This window comes from Homo sapiens, chromosome 5 (assembly GCF_000001405.40).
Source record: "Homo sapiens chromosome 5, GRCh38.p14 Primary Assembly".
Taxonomy (NCBI): domain Eukaryota; kingdom Metazoa; phylum Chordata; class Mammalia; order Primates; family Hominidae; genus Homo; species Homo sapiens.
In genome coordinates, this window is record NC_000005.10 from 34,771,099 (window position 1) to 34,790,907 (window position 19,809).

At 40.4% G+C, this 19,809-nt stretch overlaps 1 protein-coding gene across 22 annotated transcripts in view, besides 1 other annotated feature; it reads left to right on the top strand.

The window, feature by feature from the left end:
* RAI14 (retinoic acid induced 14) overlaps positions 1-19,809 on the top strand; it is a 176,285-nt gene that overhangs the window by 114,771 nt on the left and 41,705 nt on the right. The gene's annotated exons all lie outside the window — the stretch shown is intronic.
* Positions 110-209: an enhancer, noted in NCBI's record as "active region_22465". NCBI's record gives its function as "activates an Ori minimal core promoter by ATAC-STARR-seq in GM12878 lymphoblastoid cells {active_cell/tissue: GM12878}" and the evidence as "EXISTENCE:reporter gene assay evidence [ECO:0000049][PMID:35858748]".

The following is a 19,809-nucleotide window of genomic DNA, read 5'->3' on the forward strand; positions in this document are numbered from 1 at the left end:
GGGTGTATTAGGGAGAAAATACCCTTGGGGCAGGGCAGTGATCTTTGACACATTTCCTAACCTCTCTGAGCATCAGTGCTTCCATCTGTGAAATGAAGATGTTGGACCAGTTATTCTTCTGCAACGTCCTAACACTCTGGTATTCTGGGGTGTGGCTAATGCTGGTAGGGTCGTGTATGGTCATTTCTTTGTGTGAGCGTTGGTGGCTTGCTTCATTTGGGGAAGTGAATATTGGTTGCAGAGGCAATGGAAGGAACTGATCATGGTAACAGACGCCCTGGTGGTGAAGAAGGCAAGAAAGACTGGTTTGAGAGAAATTTTCAGTGAATGAATATGCCTGAGAAATTGAAGTCTTGTAAAAGTAGCCAGTGAGTTTGTATTTCCTCCCAATATCTATTTCAGCCGGTAATCAGAAACCAGAATAATTGTGTTTGTTATTATTCTGAAAGATAGAAGGAGCTTTCTGGGTTATAACTTAAGAGTTTTTGAATAGCAACAGTTCAAGCCTCCTTTGGCTTAAGAGCCTTGAGAATTATCCCAGCCTTGTCCCATGGTATTTATTTTGGGAAGGTTTGCACAACTTGTTGAGTGGTTTGGTAGGAAATGAAACCTCTCTTGCAGGCTCTGTTTGCTTCTGTGCTTGGGTTATATCCCCATCTATTTGAGAGCCCTGGCAACCCTAATCTGTCCCACTGAGAACACTGTTTGCTTTTTTGCCAAATACTTCCAGATTTTAGTTTAAACTTTGATTTTTAAAGACTAGCACAACCAGTAGGTTATATTACATAGGGTGTCACTGTTTTTTGTTTTTTGTTTTTTTGGGACAGGGTCTTGCTCTGTTGCCCACGTTGGAGTGCAGTGGCACGATCATAGCTCACTGCAGCCTCAACCTCTCAACCTCCTAGGCTTAAGTGATCCTCCCTCCTCACCCTCTCAAGTAGGTGGGACTATAGGTACGTGGCACCTCACCTGGCTAATTTATTTTTGTACTTTTTGTAGAGATGGGGTTTCACCATGTTGCCCAGGCTTGTCTTGAACTCCTGAGCTCAGGTGATCCACTTGCCTCAGCCTCCCAAAGTGCTGGGATTACAGGCATGAGCCACTGCCCCCAGTTGTGTGCATAGTGATTTAACAAATGGTGCCGTTTCTCAGTAAAATGATAAAGAACCAGCTCTAATTGCAGAATGCCTGGGTTAGAATCCAGAAATTACTTGTAATTTCTGGGACTTTGGGCAAGTTATTAAGTTAGTGCAAAAGTGATTGTGGTTTTTGCCATACTTTTAATGGCAGAAACCACAGTTACCTTTGCACTAACCTAACAGCAAACTTCTCTGCCTCAGTTTTCCTCGTCTGTTAAATGGGAGTAATAAAGTTTACTCCAACCCCTCACAGGCTTGTTGTGAGGATGAAATGAGTTAAAACTTAAGATGTTCCTAGAGTGTAATGTTTCCATAGAGTACCTGCTATTATTATTGATGTTGTTGTTATTCAACTGCCTCAGATTGGTTTAGAAATGAGGGAACTGAAGTTAAGCACTGTAGCAACAAGGCAGCTGACCAGCCTTGTCACCTGGGCCTCCTGAATCACCCTCCAGCCTCCTGGCATGCTCCCTATTGTGCCTCCGTTGGTCCCTCCATCATTCATTCAGGCTGCCACCCGGCTGCTATTTGAGGCTGCTAGGGACATCAGTGAGTTGACTTTCTCTTCAGGAAAAAGAAAATGAGAGCGAGAGAAAGAGAGTGCACTACAAAACTCTTATTAGCACTGAAACCTTGGAATCTTTCCAAGTGACAAGAGTAGGGACATTCCAAATATCAATAAGCAGCAAAGGGATCAAAGTCATTTTGTGTAAATCTTCAGGCTGCTTATTTGTGCCATTTTGCTACATTGCTGCTGAAGGGCCCCAGCTGAGTTTTATAAGCAAATCTAAACATTTCCTATTGTAATGAAATGTAAAACAGCAGATTCCTTTATTTGTGGAACATATCCATAAAATTGTTTTTATGGCTAAGTTTGTTTTCAAACAAACTTTGAAACAATGGGTGCCTTGGCAAAAAACGATGGTGTGACCCTCTTCAATAAATAGTGTGGGAAAATTGGATATCCATATGTAGAAGAATGAAATTGGACCCTCCTCTCTCCCTATATACAAATATCAACTCACAATGGATTCAAGACTTAAATGTAAGACCTGAAACTGTAAAACTACCAGAATAAAACATAGGGGAAACACTTCAAAACATTGGTCTAGGCAAAGATTTCATTGCTAAGACCTCAAAAGCGTAGACAGCTATAACAAAAATAGACAAATCGGATTATATTAAACTAAAAAGTTTTGGCACAGCAAAGGAAAGAACAAAGTGAAGAGACAACCTGTCGAATGAGAGAAAAATATTTGCAAACTATTCATCAAGGAACTAATATCCGGAATACACAAGGAACTCAAATAACTTGACCATCAAAAAATAAATAATCCCATTAAAAAGTGGGCTAAGGACATGAATAGATATTTCTCAAAAAAAGACATACAAATGGCCACAGCTATATGAAAAAAAATACTCAACATCACTAAGCATCAGGGAAATGCAAATCAAAACCACAATGAGATGTTATCCTACCCCAGTTAGAATGACTATTATTACAAAGGAAAAATAACAGATTCTGGAAGGATGCAGAGAAAAGAAAACTCATACACTGTTGGTGGGAATGTAAATTGGTTAAACTACTGTGAAAAATAAAATGGAGCTTCCTCAAAAAATTAGAACTACTGTACATCCAGCACTTCCACAACTGGGTGTTTATCCAAAGGAACAGAAATTGTGAAGTCCTAGCTAAAGCAATCAGACAAGAGAAAGAAACAGCATCCAAATTGGAAAGGAAAAAGCCAAGTTATTCTTGTTTGCAGATGATATGATTTTATATTGGAAAAAAACCAAAGACTCCACCACAAAACTATTAGAACTGATAAACAAGCCTGGGCGCAGTGGCCCACATCTGTAATCCCAGCAGTTTGGGAGGCTGAGGTGGGCAGATCATTTGAGGTCAGGAGTTTGAGACCAGCCTGGCCAACATGGTGAAATCCTGTGTCTACTTAAAAAAAAAAAAAATAGCCAGACATTGTGGCACCTCCCATAGCAGGCACTGTGCCTGTCATCCCAGCTACTTGGGAGGCTGAGGAAGGAGAATCTCTTGAACCCGAGAGGCAGAGGTTGCAGTGAGCCGAGATTGCACCATTGCCCTCTAGCCTTGGTGACAGAGTGAGACTCTGCACAAAAATAAACAAACAAACAAAAAAACTGATAAGCAAGTTCAGCAAAGTTGCAGGATACAAAATCAACATAAAAAATCAGTAGCATTTCTATATGCCAACAGCAAACCATCTGAAAAAAAGTGAATCAAGTAATTCTATTTACACTAGCCACAAATAAAATAAAATACCTAGAAATAAAGTTAACCAAAGAAATAAAAGATCTCTACAATGAAAACTATAAAACATTGATTAAAGAAATTGAAGAGGACACACACAAAAATGGAAACATTCTTTAACAATATTGATTCTTCCAACCATGAACATGGAAGAATGTCCATACTATCCAAGCAGTCTACAGATTCAATGCAATCCCTATCAAAATACCAATGACATTTTTCACAGAAATAGAAAAAAAAAAAACCTAAAGTTCATATGAACCCACAAAAGACCCAGAACAGCAAAGCTATCCTGAGCAAAAAGAGCAAAACTGGAAAAATCCCATTACCTGACTTCAAATTATACTACAGAGCTATAGTAACTAAAACAGCATGGTACTGGCATGAAAACAGATACACAGACCAATAGAGCGGAACAGAGAACCCAGAAACAAATCCATACATCTACAGTAAACTCATTTTTGACAAAGGTGCCAAGAACATACATTGGGAAAAGGACACACTCTTCAGTAAATGGTGGTGGGAAAACTGGATCTCCATATATAGAAGAATGAAACTAGACCCCTATCTCTTGCCATATACAAAAACCAAAATGGATTAAAGATTTAAATCTAAGACCTCAAACTATGAAACTACTATAAGAAAACATCGAGGAAACTCTGTAGGGCGTTGGGTTGGGCAAAGATTTCTTGAGTAATACCTGACAAGCACAAACAACCAAAACAAAAATGGACAAATGGGGATCATATCAAGATAAAAAGCTTCTGCACAGCAAAAGAAATGATCAGCAAAGAGATAACCCACAGAATGGGAGAAAATATTTGCAAGCTACCCATCTGACAAGGGATTAACAACCAGTATATAAGGAGCTCAAACAATTCTATAGGGAAAAAAATCCAATAATCTGATTTAAAAATGGGCAAAAGGTACAGTTGCAGTGGCTCATGCCTGTAATCCCAGCACTTTGGGAGGTCAAGGTGAGAGGATTGCTTTAGCCTACGAGTTCAAGACCAGCCTGGGCAACATGGGAGCCCTCATCTCTATTTAAAATGAATGAATGAATGGGCAAAAAGATCTGAACCGACACTTCCCAAAAGACATACAAATGGCAAACAGGTGTACGAAAACATGCTGAACATCATTGATCATTAGAGAAATCCAGATCAAAACTACAATGAGCTAACTACTATGAGCTATTGTTGCACCCCAGTTAAAATGGCTGACATCCAAAAGACAGGCAATAACAAATGTTGGCAAGGATATGGGGAAAAGGGAACCCTCATACACTGTTGGGGAGAATGTAAATTAGTGTAACCATTATGGAGAACGGTTTGGAGGTTCCTCAAAAAACTAAAAATAGAATTACCATATGATACAGCAATCCCACTGCTAGGTATATACCCAAAAGAATGGAAATTGCTATATTGAAAAGATATCTGCACTCTCATGTTTATTGTAGCATTATTCTCAGTAGCCATTATTTGGAAGCAACCTAAGTGTCCATCATCAGATGAATGGATAAAGAAAATGTAGGACATATACACAATGGAGTACTGTTCAGCCATAAAAAAAGAATGAGATCCTGTCATTTGCAACAACGTGGTTGGAACTGGAGGTCATTATGTTAACTGAACTAAGCCAGGCACAGAAAAACAAACTGCCTATTCTCACTTATTTGTGGGAGCTAGAAATTAAACTCATGGAGATAAGAGCAGAATGATGGTTACCACAGGATGGGAAGGGTAGTGGGTTGGGGGAAAGTGGGGAGGTTAATGGGTATAAAAATATAGTTAGATATTAATAGAATAAATAAGATCTCGTATTTGATAGCACCACAGAATGAGTATAGTCAACAATAATTATTATACATTTTAAAATAGCTGAAAGAGTATAATTGAGTTGTTGGTAACACAAAGAAAGGATAAATGCTTGAAGTGGAGGATACCCCCATTTACCCTGATGTGATTATTCACATTGTATACCTATATTAAAATATCTTGGCTGGGCACAGTGACTCACACCTGTAATCCCAGCACTTTGGAAGGCTGAGGCAGATGGTTCACTGGAGCCCAGGAGTTCAAGGCCAGCCTGGGCAACATGGCAAAAACCTGTCTCTACAAAGAAATAGAAAAATTAGATGGGCATGGTAGTGTGTATCTGTAGTTGCAACTATTCGGGAGACTGAGATGGGAGAATCGCTTGAGCCAGGGAGATTGAGGCTGTGGTGAGCCAAGATTGCACCACTGCACTCCAGCCTGGGTGACAGAGTGAGACCCTTTATTAAAAAAACCCACCAAAACTCATGTGCCCCATAAATATATATACCTACTATCTTCCCATAAAAATTAAAAACAAGGAAAAGAGCTGGGTGCAGTGGCTCATGCCTGTAATCCCAGCACTTTGGGAAGCCGAGGTGGGAGGATCACTTGAGGTCAGAAGTTCGAGACCAGCCTGGCCAACATGGTGAAACCCCATCTCTACTAAAAAAATACAAAAATTAGCCAGGCATAGTGGCATGCACCCGTAATACCAGCAGGAGGCTGAGGCAGGAGAATCGCTTGAACCCAGGAGGCAGAAGTTGCCATGAGCCAAGATTGCACCATTGCACTCCAGCCTGGGCAACAGAATGATACACTATCTCAAGAGACAACAACAACAACAAGAAGGAATTCAGTATATCAAAAGGATATCTGCACTTGCATTATTTACAATTCACAATAGCAAAGATATGCAGTCAACCCAAGTGTCAATCAATGGACCAATAAATAGATAAAGAAAATGTGGTACCATATACACAATGGAATACTATTTGGCCATAAAAAGAATGAAACCCTGTCATTTGCAGCAACATAGATGGAACTGTGGGTTATTATGTTAAGTGAAATAAGACAGGAACAGAAAGACAGATGCCACATGTTCTCACTAACATGTGGGAACCAAAAAAACAAACAAAAACAACAAAAACCTGATCTCAGCTGAGCGTGGTGGCTCACACCTGTAATCCCAACACTTTGGGAGACTGAGGCAGGTGGATCTTCTGAGGTCAGGAGTTTGAGACCAGCCTGACCAACATGGTGAAACTCTGTCTCTACTAAAAATACAAAATTAGCTGGGCTTGGTGGTTCATACCTGTAATCCCAGCTACTCAGGAGGCTGAGGCAGGAGAATCGCTTGAACCCGGGAGGCAGAGATGGCAGTGAGCCGAGATCGTGCTATTGCACTCCAGCCTGGGCAACAGAGCGAGACTCCGTCTCAAAAAAACAAAACAAAACAAAAAAACCTGATCTCATGAAGACAGAGAATAGAATGATAGATATTAGAGCATGGGACAGGTGTGTGGTGTGTGTGGGGGGGGTGTGGATAAAGAGAGTAGAAACATAGTTAGAGCTACAAATGAATAAACCCCACTATTAGATAGACTAGGGTGACTATAGTTAGCAACAATGTCTTGTCTATTGTAAAGTATGTAGAAGAGAGGACTTTAAATGTTACCCATACATGGAAATGATAAATATTCAAGGTGATGGATATCCCAAATGCTCTGACCTGAATTATAATCTATGCATGTAACAAATATTCACATGTACTCCATAATAAGTAAAATATTTTGTGTCCAAAAAAATTTTAAACATATTTTTAAAAGGAAAAAATGACAGTGTGAAGTTTTTAACTTATTCTATGTTTAGTGTAGTGCTACTCAAACTTGGATGTGTACATGGAACCAGCTCGGGATCTTGTAAATGCAGCTTTTGATTCAGTAGATTTGGAGTGGTGCCTGAGAGTCTGCATTTCTAACATGCTCCTGTTCCCCAGGCCACTCTTTAAGTTAGCCAAGACTTAGGCTGTCAAAGTGTTATTTCAGCTACATCAGAATCTGGATAGTACCCTGGCCGGGCATGGTGGCTCACGCCTGTAATCCCAACACTTTGGGAGGCTGAGATGGGAGGATTGCTAGAGTCCAGGAGTTGGAGAATCTGGTTAGTACCTGCTATCCCAGGTAGTGACCAGCATCCCTGTCACTGGGCTTGAGTTAGGAAGTAGATAAAATGTTTTTATACTCTTCGCATCTCCACAGCTCCACTGCATTCTTGACCTATCTAAATGAAGATGTAGGCGGGTTTGGTGGCTCACACCTGTAACCCCAGTTTGGGAGAATCGCTTGAGGCCAGGAATTTGAGACCAGGCTGGGCAACACAGTGAGACCCCGTTTCTGTGATTTTTTTTTTTTTAAAGAAAGGAAAAAAAAAAACTATCTTAATGGTATAAATATATTGGCATATAGACTTTTGAATGACATTTCGTGTCTTTGAAAGGAAAGCCCACACTTCTTAATCCGTAACTCATTTTATGAGGCCAGCATCATCCTGATACCAAAGCCTGGCAGAGACACAACAAAAAAAGAGAATTTTAGACCAATATCCCTGATGAACATCGATGCAAAAATCCTCAGTAAAATACTGGCAAACCGAATACAGCAACACATCAAAAAGCTTATCCACCAAGATCAAGTGGGCTTCATCCCTGGGATGCAAGGCTGGTTCAACATACACAAATCAATAAATGTAATCCATCATATAAACAGAACCAAGGACAAAAACCACATGATTATCTCAATAGATGCAGAAAAGGCCTTTGAAAAAATCAACAGCCCTTCATGCTAAAAACTCTCAATAAATTAGGTATTGATGGGATGTATCTCAAAATAATAAGAGCTATTTATGACAAACCCACAGCCAATATCATACTGAATGGGCAAAAACTGGAAGCATTCCCTTTGAAAACTGGCACAAGACAGGGATGCCCTCTCTCACCACTCCTATTCAACATAGTGTTGGAAGTTCTGGCCAGGGCAATCAGGCAGGAGAAAGAAATAAAAGGTATTCAGTTAAGAAAAGAGGAAGTCAAATTGTCCCTGTTTGCAGATGACATGATTGTATATCTAGAAAACCCCATCGTCTCAGCCCAAAATCTCCTTAAGCTGATAAGCAACTTCAGCAAAGTCTCAGGATACAAAATCAATGTGCAAAAATCACAAGCATTCTTATATACCAATAACAGACAGAGAGCCAAACCATGAGTGAACTCCCATTCACAATTGCTTCAAAGAGAATAAAATACCTAGGAATCCAACTTACAAGGGATGTGAAGGACCTCTTCAAGGAGAATTACAAACCACTACTCAACGAAATAAAAGAGGACACAAACAAATGGAAGAACGTTCCATGCTGGTGGATAGGAAGAATCAATATCGTGAAAATGGCCATACTGCCCAAGGTAATTTATAGAGTCATTGCCATCCCCATCAAGCTACCAATGACTTTCTTCACAGAATTGGAAAAAAACTACTTTAAAGTTCATAAGGAACCAAAAAAGAGCCTGCATTGCCAAGTCAATCCTAAGCCAAAAAAACAAAGCTGGAGGCATCACACTACCTGACTTCAAACTATACTACAAGACTACCATAACCAAAACAGCACAGTACTGGTACCAAAACAAGAGGTATAATACCAATGGAACAGAACAGAGCCCTCAGAAATAATACTACACATCTACAACCATCTGATCTTTGACAAACCTGACAAAAACAAGAAATGGGGAAAGGATTCCCTATTTAATAAATGGTGCTGGGAAAACTGGCTAGCCATATGTAGAAAGCTGAAACTGGATCCCATCCTTACACCCTATACAAAAATTAATTCAAGATGGATTAAAGACTTAAATGTTAGACCTAAAACCATAAAAACCCTAGAAGAAAACCTAGGCAATACCATTCAGGACATAGGCATGGGCAAGGACTTCATGACTAAAACACCAAAAGCAATGGCAACAAAAGCCAAAATTGACAAATGGGATTAATTAAACTAAAGAGCTTCTGCACAGCAAAAGAAACTACCATCAGAGTGAACAGGTAACCTACAGAATGGGAAAAAATTTTTGCAATGTACTCATCTGACAAAGGGCTAATATCCAGAATCTACAAAGAACTCAAACAAATTTACAAGAAAAAAACAAACAGCCCCATCAAAAAGTGGGCAAAGGACATGAACAGACACTTCTCAAAAGAAGACATTTATGCGGCCAACAGACACATGAAAAAATGCTCATCATCACTGGCCATCAGAGAAATGCAAATCAAAACCATAATGAGATACCATCTCACACCAGTTAGAATGGCAATCATTAAAAAGTCAGGAAACAGGTGCTGGAGAGGATGTGGAGAAACAGGAACACTTTTACACTGTTGGTGGGACTGTAAACTAGTTCAACCATTGTGGAAGACAGTGTGGTGATTCCTCAAGGATCTAGAACTAGAAATACCATTTGACCCAGCCATCGCATTACTGGGTATATACCCAAAGGAATATAAATTATGCTGCTATAAAGTCACATGCACACGTATGTTTATTGCGGCACTATTCACAATAGCAAAGACTTGGAACCAACCCAAATGTCCATAAATGATAGACTGGATTAAGAAAATGTGGCACATATACACCATGGAATACTATGCAGTCATAAAAAAGGATGAGTTCATGTCCTTTGTAGGGACATGGATGAAGCTGGAAACCATCATTCTCAGCAAACTATCACAAGGACAAAAAAAACCAAGCACCGCATGTTCTCACTTATAGGTGGGAATCGAACAATGAGAACACTTGGACACAGGAAGGGGAACATCACACACCGGGGTCTGTCGTGGGGTGGGGGGAGGGGGGAGGGATAGCATTAGGCGATATACCTAATGTAAATGACGAGTTAATGGGTGCAGCACACCAACGTGGCACATGTATACATATGTAACAAACCTTGTGCACATGTACCCTAGAACTTAAAGTATAATTTAAAAAAATAATAAAAAAAGTAAAAGCTTATGTAGAGACAAAGCTGAAGGATGTTTCTAATTTGTTTTGCATTCACTCTGTTATATTCCTTTAAGTGCAGATTTCAGCTGATAATTAACCAAAAGAACTACCTCAGAGGGCTCACTGAGAAAGATCTAAACGTTTTACATCTGGACATTTAGGTTGTAATTCAAATTCTCATCTCTTAAATTTTGCAGAAGATAATAAGGCTTGGCTAGGATGTGGAGAAATTGGAGCTCTCATGAATTGCTGATAGAGATGTTAAATGGTGCAGCAGCTTTAGAAAACAGGTTAGCAGTTCATCAGAAAGTTCAACGTAGTTGCCATATGACTGAGCAATTCCACTCCTCGGTATGTACCCATTAGTACTGAAAAATGTGTCTACACTTGCTGAGACCAGCTTGATCATGGAGACCCTAACCCAGCAGCACTAGAGGAATTAAAGACACACACACAGAAATACAGAGTGTGGAGTGGGAAATCAGGGGTCTCACAGCCTTCAGAGCTGAGAGCCTCAAACAGAGATTTACCCACATATTTATTGACAGCAAGCCAGTCATGAGATTTACTAAAAGTATTCCTTATGGGAAATATAGGGATGGGCGGAAATAAAGGGATGGGTCTGGGTAGTTATGTGCAGCAGGAATATGTCCTTAAGCCACAGATCACTCATGCTATTGTTTGTGGTTCAGGAATGCCTTTAAGCGGTTTTCCACCCTGGGTGGGCCAGGTGTTCCTTGCCCTTATTTCGGTAAACCCACAACCTTCAGCGTGGGTGTCATGGCCATCACGAACATGTCACAGTGCTGCAGAGATTTTGTTTATGGCTAGTTTTGGGGCCAGTTTATGGCCAGATTTGGGGGCCTGTTCCCAACATGTCCCCCTTGTCTTTTTTTCTTTTTTTTCAAAGTGATAAAAGCAAAGGCAGCATTATCACGGTGAGCTACTTCTCCCAGGAGTCAGGTTCCGCATCTGCAGACTATACAGAGACAACACAGATTAAAAGCACAGTCATCATTGAAATCACAGAGCTTTTAAGTGTTTTTATGCATTTTAATGGGTTACTAGCTCCTAATGTGTCTGCAGCTCCTTCAAGCACTCCAGTTCCTGGCATTAAGTTCAGGTGTGCCTGGGATGCTTTAAATATTTGTTCTTTTAGTTTTGCAATATCCAAAGACAAATTTGTAGAGTGTCCTTCTAGATGCTTTTTTATTCTTTCCCAAAATTTGATCTTATTAACAGCTATTAATAGTGTCTACAAATCCTTATGTTTAGCTCCTACAGTGGGCCATATCATTTGAGGTTGAGGTGCCACTATACCTCCATGTTTCCAGATAATAGGAACTTTTGCCATATTCCTTATCATTTCTACCATCTGACCATTTTGTTCAGACCAGCTGAACATAGTGTGGCCATGACACACAGACTGAGAGGTGCAATTCAAGCTAAACATCTCCATAGGGGAATAATCAATGATGATTCCACAGGAATCGTTGCACAGCATGTCTGCCTGTTCTGCAATGCAATCTTCCCAAACAGGTACGTTCATTATTTCTGGCCAGGTCCAATTCTGTTTACAAATAGGTTTTTGAGGGTAGTATGCCTCAATTATAGGAGCAGATTTATAATGGTAAATACTGAGATCAGAAAGCATGTGTAACTGTGTCAGATCGATTATATCCAGGCATTATTGCCAGCCAAGATTGATAAATATGCCCAATAAGTATAATTGTTCTCTGTGTCAGCCCTTGCTAAAGGAATACTCAAGGCAGTGGTGATCACTGCTATCGCAGCTACCATTAAATTACTCATTGTGACTGGTTGTCCCGCTTTCCTCTGGTTTTCTTCTGCCATTTGTGACAGCTTCTTGTTCTGTCCTCAAGTAGGTGGCTGTGTTCAATGGGTGTTGCTCATGACAGTTGGGGTCCTCCTCAGCGTCAGTCTTGACATGGCTGCAACCGGGGGGTCCTCGGGATCCTCCTGGTATCTCTTCCTCGGCATCTGGCTCATGATAAGGTTTCAGGTATCTTGATGGTATCCAAATTGGCTGCTGGTTCTGGCCTGGAGAAACACAAGCATAACCTCTACCCCAAGTTATTATTTTACCTATTTCCCAAGTTTTTGTTATTGGATTTCTCCCACCAAACCAGTTGTTCTGCTTCTGTCTTTGCAGCTGGTTTCTGTAGATGCTGTTCAGCTGCTGACAGCATCTGGCCTTTAGGCAGGCTCAAAAAATTTTAAGTCAATAATACGAGATTCAATTGCATATGTGGTGTTCTGTACTCCCTGTTTTCCCCCCTTAGCTCTTGCAACTGCTGTTTCAGGGAGAGATTCATTCTTTCCACTATGGCTTGTCCTTGAGAATTATATGGGATGCCAGTAATGTGTTTAATATTCCATATAGAGAAAAATGTAGCTAGAGCTTGGCTAGTATAGCCTGGGGCATTATCTGTTTTAATAGAAGCTGGAATGCCCATCACCGCAAAACACTGCAAAAGGTGACGTTTAACACAGGCAGAAGACTCTCCTGATTGGCATGTAGCCCAGACAAAGTGAGAAAAGGTGTCCACACATACATGTACATAAGCTAGTCTCCCAAATGAGGGAACATGTGTGACATCCATTTGCCAAAGAGAATTAGGTTCCAATCCTCGAGGATTAACTCCTCCTGGAAAAGATGCGGAATGCACCATTTGGCAAGTTGGGCGTCGCTGGATAATAGCTTTAGCTTCTTTCATCATTTTCAATTAATTGTGTGTAATGAACCACATATGAAGAATCAGAAATCACATTAATGGGCATATTAAAAGCAGTCAATACCTCAATTACAGCTACAAGCTCTGCTTTTTGAGCTGAAGTATAGGGTGTCTGGAAAACTTTATCTTTTGAGCCAGAATAAAAAGCTTTACCATTACTAGACCCATCTGTAAAGACATTTTCAGCACCTTCAATTGGTTTAAATTTAGTTATACTAGGGAGGATCCAATTAGTTAATTTCAAAAATTGAAACAATTTTGTTTAGGAAAATGATTATTGAGAATACCCACAAAGTCAGCTAAATGGGTTTGCTGAGTAAGACTATTTATAAAAGCTTGCTGTATTTGTGCCTTTGTGAGAGGGACAGTAATTTTTCCAGGATCATATCCATGTAATTTAACAATCTGAGTTCTCCCATTTCCTATCATAGTAGTGATTTGATCCAAATAAGGAGTTAGAGTCCATGAATTAGTATGTGGAAGAAAAAACCATTCTACTAAGTCCTGCTCATGGACAATAACACCAGTAGGTGAATGCTGAGTTGGAAAAATTAGCAAATCTAGAGCCTTCTCTGGATCTATTCTATTTATTTGAGCTTTATAGACTTGCTTTTCGATTAGCTGCAGCTCTGGCTCAGCTTCTTTTATTAATTGCCAAGGGCTAGTGAGACTAGGATCTCCTCTAAGAATAGAAAATAGATTACTCATGGCATAGGTAGGAATGCTTAGAGCAGGTCGTATCCAATTAATGTCCCCTAGTAATTTTTGAAAGTCATTTAATGTTTTCAATTGATCCCTACCTATGGCTACTTTCTGTGGCACAATTGTAGTGTCATTTACTAAAGTCTCCATAGGTTGTATAACTGAATTAATGGCTCATAAATCAGTTAACATTCTCCATTTACCTTATTGTTTCTTAATAACAAAGACTGGAGAATTTCAGGGGGAAAATGTTGGAGCTATGTGTCCTTTTCCTAATTGTTCATTAACGAAGTCCTCTAAAGCCTCCAGTTTCTCTTTACTTAGCGGCCACTGTTCTATCAAAATTGGCTTATCTTTTAACCATTTTAAAGGTATAGGTTCTGGAGGCTTAACAATGGCCACCATCAAAAATGATATCCTAAACCTTGGTGGGAACTTTGTCTTTCTGCTTGAAGTGGTTCCTTCAAACCTTGCAAATTTTTTCCTAGTCCCATACCAGGGACATACCCCGTTTCATGCATCATATGTTGACTTTGAGGGCTGTATAATTGTTCTGGAATCAGAACTTGTACTCCCCATTGTTGTAATAAATCTCTTCCCATAAATTTATAGGTACAGGAGTTATAATTGGTTGAATAGTCCCAGGTTGTCCATTGGGCCCTTCACAGTGCAAAATATGACTACTTTGATATACTTCAGGGGTTACCAACTCCAGCTATGTTAAATTGAATGGGTTGAATTGGTCACGTGGACGGCCAGTGCTGTAGAGAAGTGATTGAAATGTCCACTCCTGTATCTACCAAACCTTTAAATTTCTTTCCCTGAATAGTTATTTCACAGGTAGGATGTTTATCAGTAATTTTATTCACCCAATAAGCTGCTTTGCCTTCTTTATTTGTGCTTCCAAATCCTCCTGTTCGTTTAATTTCACTTTTCCCCATTCCCACATACAGCACAATCAGGAGCTGTACTATATGCTCTCCTGGCTCTGCTTTCCAGGGAACAGAAGTAGATAAAACAATTTGAGTTGCCCCATTGTAATCAGAATCAGTGACTCCTGTTTGTATTTGTACCCCTTTTAAATGTAAACTAGACCTTCCTAGAAGTAATCCTATCATCCCCGCTGGCAAGGGTCCACAGACTCCTGTTGGGACCTTTTGCAGGGTTCCCGAGGCAGAAGGCTCACAGCTTTTGTGCAGCATACATCTGTGGCACTACCATCTGTGGCAGGGGACAGACATTGTAAGGGGTGAGGGAACGGCCTAAGCCAGAAATGCCCCGGTTTGGAACGGGGCCCGGGATGGGCCCCTCATGCCATTTCCCAAATTTAAAAGGAAAAGGCTCAAATGTAGCTATAATATTGCCCTGTTGATCTGGGGGGGTGTATCCTAACAGGGAACTGCCAAGCCTCTAAATCACCCTCTTGTCTAGCTTGCTGAATTCCTGCCTGAATAGAACTGAGAGCAGTCGCTCAAGGTGCTGCTCGAACAGTCACTGGGGCAACTACTTTTTGCCCAGTGTCCTCTGGAAAAGAAAGATCTGGAGGGTCAGGCCGTTCTTTTTCTTCAAAATAAGAAGGGGGTGCAGAAGAGTAGGGATGAACTTCTTCCTCCTTTGCCACTTTAGCTTTAGCTGGCAAACAAACCGGCTCTGTTACTTCTTCTGTTACTTCATTATACTCTCCTCCTTCCTCATCATTTGTGAAAAGGTTCCAAGGTGGAACGAACCAGAGCCCACACTTGTCCAGTTGTTACCCTGATGCTTCCGAGCTCCCCTTCCTACTCACCACTGGGATTGCTTAAAAGAGTACTTGGGTGTCCTCCGCTTGGTTCCACATTTTCCAACTGTTGCTCTGGCGACCCTTCGACCTGGGTTTGAGCCTCCACGTTGGGCACCACTTGCCGAGACCAGCTCGGTCGTGGAGACCCTAACCCAGCAGTGCTAGAGGACTTAAAGACACACACACAGAAATACAGACCGTGGAGTGGGAAATCAGGGGTCTCACAGCCTTCAGAGCTGAGAGCCTTGAACAGAGATTTACCCACATATTTATTGACAGCAAGCTAGTCATAAGATTTACTAAAAGTATTCCTTATGGGAAATAAAGGGATGGCCTGAAACAAAGGGATGGGCTCTTGTTAGTTATCTGCATCAGGAACATGTCCTTAAGTGCAGATCGCTCATGCTATTGTTTGTGGTTCAGGAACGTCTTTAAGCGGTTTTCCGCCCTGGGTAGGCCAGGTGTTCCTTACCCTCATTCCGGTAAAACCACAGCCTTCAGCATGGGTGTCATGGCCATCACGAACATGTCACAGTGCTGCAGAGATTTTATCAGTTTTGGGGCCAGTTTATGGCCAGATTTGGGGGCCTGTTCCCAACAGCCATATGACTCAGCAATTCTGCTCCTCAGTATGTACCCATTAGTATTAAAAAATGTGTCTACACAACCACTCGTACATGAATGGTGGGGCATGATAGTAATCCCCAGTAAAAACAACTGAAATGTCCAACAGACAATGAATAGATAAACAAAATGCAGCATATCCATACAATTTATTATTAAGGAAGGAATGAAGTACTAATGCATACTGCAACATGGATGAACCTTGAAAACATGCTAAATGAGAGAAGCCAGACACAAAGGAGCATGTATTATACAATCCCATCTTTAAAAGGAAATGTCCAGAATAGGCAAATCCATAGAAACTGGAAGTAGATTTGTGGTTTCCTGGGAGTTGGGGAAGTAGGGAAATAGGGAGTGACTGCTAATCGATACAGGGATTTTTTTGAGGAGGAGGTGACGAAAATATTCTAGAATTAGGTAATGATGTTGTTGCCAGCTTTGTGAATATACTAAAAGCAACTTAATTGTGCATTTTTAAAATGGTGATTTTTATGGTTTGTGGATTATAACTCAATAAAAAGATTAAATTCTCATTTATTTTGTTTTTTGGTCTTTGTTTAATTTGTTTTTATAGAATTATGTTTTTAGTATATACATTGCCTTTAATGGTTTATTACAGGGTTTCTTAACCTGGATACTACTGATTTTTTTTTTTTTTTTTTTTTTTTTTTTTTTTTTTTTTTTGAGACAGGGTCTCACCGTCACCCAGGCTAGAGTGCAGTGGTGGTGTGATCACAGCTCACTGTAGCGTCTACCTTCCAGGCTCATGCTATCCTTCCGCCTTAGCATCCCGAGTAGTTGGGACTACAAGCATGTGCTACCACACCTGGCTAATTTTTTAAATTTTTTTGTAAAGACAGGATTTGGCCATATTGTTCAGGCTGGTCTTGAACTCCTGGGCTCAAGCAATCTGCCTTCCTCCGCCTCCCAAAGTGCTGGGATTGCAGGTGTGAGCCACCACACCTAGCCCACTACTGATATTTTGGTTTGGATAGATAATTCATAGTTGTGGGGACCTGTCTTGTGCATTGTAGAGATGGTCAGCAGCATCTCTGGCCTCTGCAGATTAGATGCCAATAGAATCTCCCTCCTCTCCTTCTTCCCTAGTCCATGATAAAAAATGTCTCCAGACATTGCCAAATGTTCCAAGGATGGGGTGCAAAAGTACGCCCAGTTGAAACCATTGGTTCTCTTTAGTCTTCCTGCTAAAAGCCGAGCTCCATAAAGGCAGGAACTTTGTTTTATTCATTATTGTTTCCTTAGAACCATGTCTCACACATAGATACCCTAATATTATAGTAAATATATGAATGAGTACTTCTGGCTATAGAAGTAGCAGTACTTGTAAAAAATATATAACTATAGAAATATCAAAATGATACCATACTTGAGTTAATTCCAATGCCTTAGGATTAACATTGTTAAGAATACCATGTTTGGCTGGGCATGGTGGCTCACGCCTGTAATCCCAGCACTTTGGGAGGCTGAGACGGGTGGATCACTTGAGGTCAGGAGTTCGAGACCAGCCTAGCCAACATGGTGAAACCCCGTCTCTGCAAAAACACAAAAATTAGCCAGGCATGGTGGCACATACCTGTAATCCCGGCTACTTGGGAGGCTGAGGCACGAGAATCGCTTGAACTCAGGAAGTGGAAGTTGCAGTGAGCCGAGATTGAGTCACTATACTCTAGCCTGGGCGACAGAGTGAGACTGCATCTCAAAAAAGAAAAAAACTATGTTTAAAGAGGACAAGTAAGTTTTATCAACTTACTGCCCTGGCCCCCTACCCCATCCTAATCTGTAGGCTCTTTTTATTTAGAGTTGCCAGCTATCCAGGACACAGGCCATGAGAGGGCACCAGTCATGCTCTTAATGAGTCATGTGCTGGCCTTGGGCACCATCTGCTTCCTAAGCCTGAGATGACCCCACAGATGCCTTCCTGCCTGCCATCTAGATAGAGCGGCCCCAGCCCTTGAGGATGCTGACATTTATCAGTCACTGCATACATAAGAAGGGAAATCTACCCACCATCATCTACATATCAGGTTCTGTCACTGACTGGTCATGTTTTTCTACCCAACAGAACCTAACTTTCCACTTGAGTATCTTATTCAAAGTTGGCTATGCTTCTGGTTCACATTCCGAGGCTAAATGTTAATGGCTTGCTGCTGCCAAACCCTGCTTTGGGGATGATCACTTCCGTGAGAGGTGCCAAAACGTTAGCTGCTCAAGTGTGGGCGTTAGACAAGGCTGGTCTTGGATGGTTTATTGTGGTTTGCTACTTGTCTACAACTTTGTTCCCAAGTTTCCATTCAATGGAAACACACATAGCTTTTGCCCCTCCTTTCCCCTCTCTTCGTTTTTTAAGCAGTGGTGGTTCTGATTTAACTTCTGCTACTTCTCCTTTCTGAACATTGAAACAATCCCTTTTATCAAGCAACATGTCACAGACTCTGTGCCATGCTTTGTGTTGGTGAGGATACAATAATTGGTGGCATGTTTTGAGTGTTTATTTCACGCTTCACCCTTTATGAAGTGCTTTTACACATAATTCTTGTATTCGTCAACAACCCATTTTACTGATGTGGAAACTGAGATAGAGCCTAATAAGTAAGGAAGCATAGATTCAAACCCAGATAGTCTGAGCCCTTAAGGTTACCAGCACTACCTCCTTAATATCCTGCTTCTTGTTATACTTTACCATCTGACTAGATGTTTTTGTCCCTCTTCTAAGCTTTGATAAAGCTATAAGGTTGGAAGCTTTAATTTTTCAAAATCACAGACATTAGGAATAAGAACCAGAGACCCTGAAGTTAAAACATTAAGACTTGATATCCAAATTAGATACAGAAAAGAAGTTCATAGTGTGGTTTTCCCACCCTGCTCTTCTGTACATTGGTGATTAATAACTGCTTCTAGGCATAGGGTGGGGGAATGAGACAAAAGGAGGCAGGGCTCCTATTTCTAGGAGCTTCCTTTCTCTCTGAGGGGAATAAACTGAGTGAGCCTGCTCTTTCAGTTGGTTGTTTGAGTGTAAGATACCCAGATTGAATACATAAGTGCTTTCATAATACACAGGAGATGGGTTGTTAGGGAACTGCCAACAAAGTCATTTCGTTGTCTGATTTGTGCCTATTTCTTCTGCATTTGCACAGCTTTCATAAAAACAGGACAAAGCTAAAAGAGTGCACTGACCATTTTGGTTTTCTTTTATGTGATAACTCATTGAGCAAACTCTTTCAGGTTATAGATGCTATGTTCCAAGTTAAGTAGTAAAATGATTTTCTGACTAAAATTATGGCAATGATTCACTACTTTATTATATAAAAAGTAAGATATTTTAAAGAGTTAGAGCAAGCAATAGAGATCAAAATGACTTTCTAGATAGTTATTCTTTCTTATTTTGCATTTTTTTTCTAAACCTAGCCTGCACATTTTTTAATAGTAGAATATGGTACAAGGTATTATATATATAAGATGTATAGTGTGTATATGGGTGTGTGTGTGTGTATATATACATATATATATATATATAGTATATAGTATAGAATATTTAGTAAATTTTATTTTACTTCTAATTCATTACTGAAGAACCCTCATTATTACACAGGATATGCCTACAGAACTTATTGAGAATTTCCCCATTGTAGACCACAAT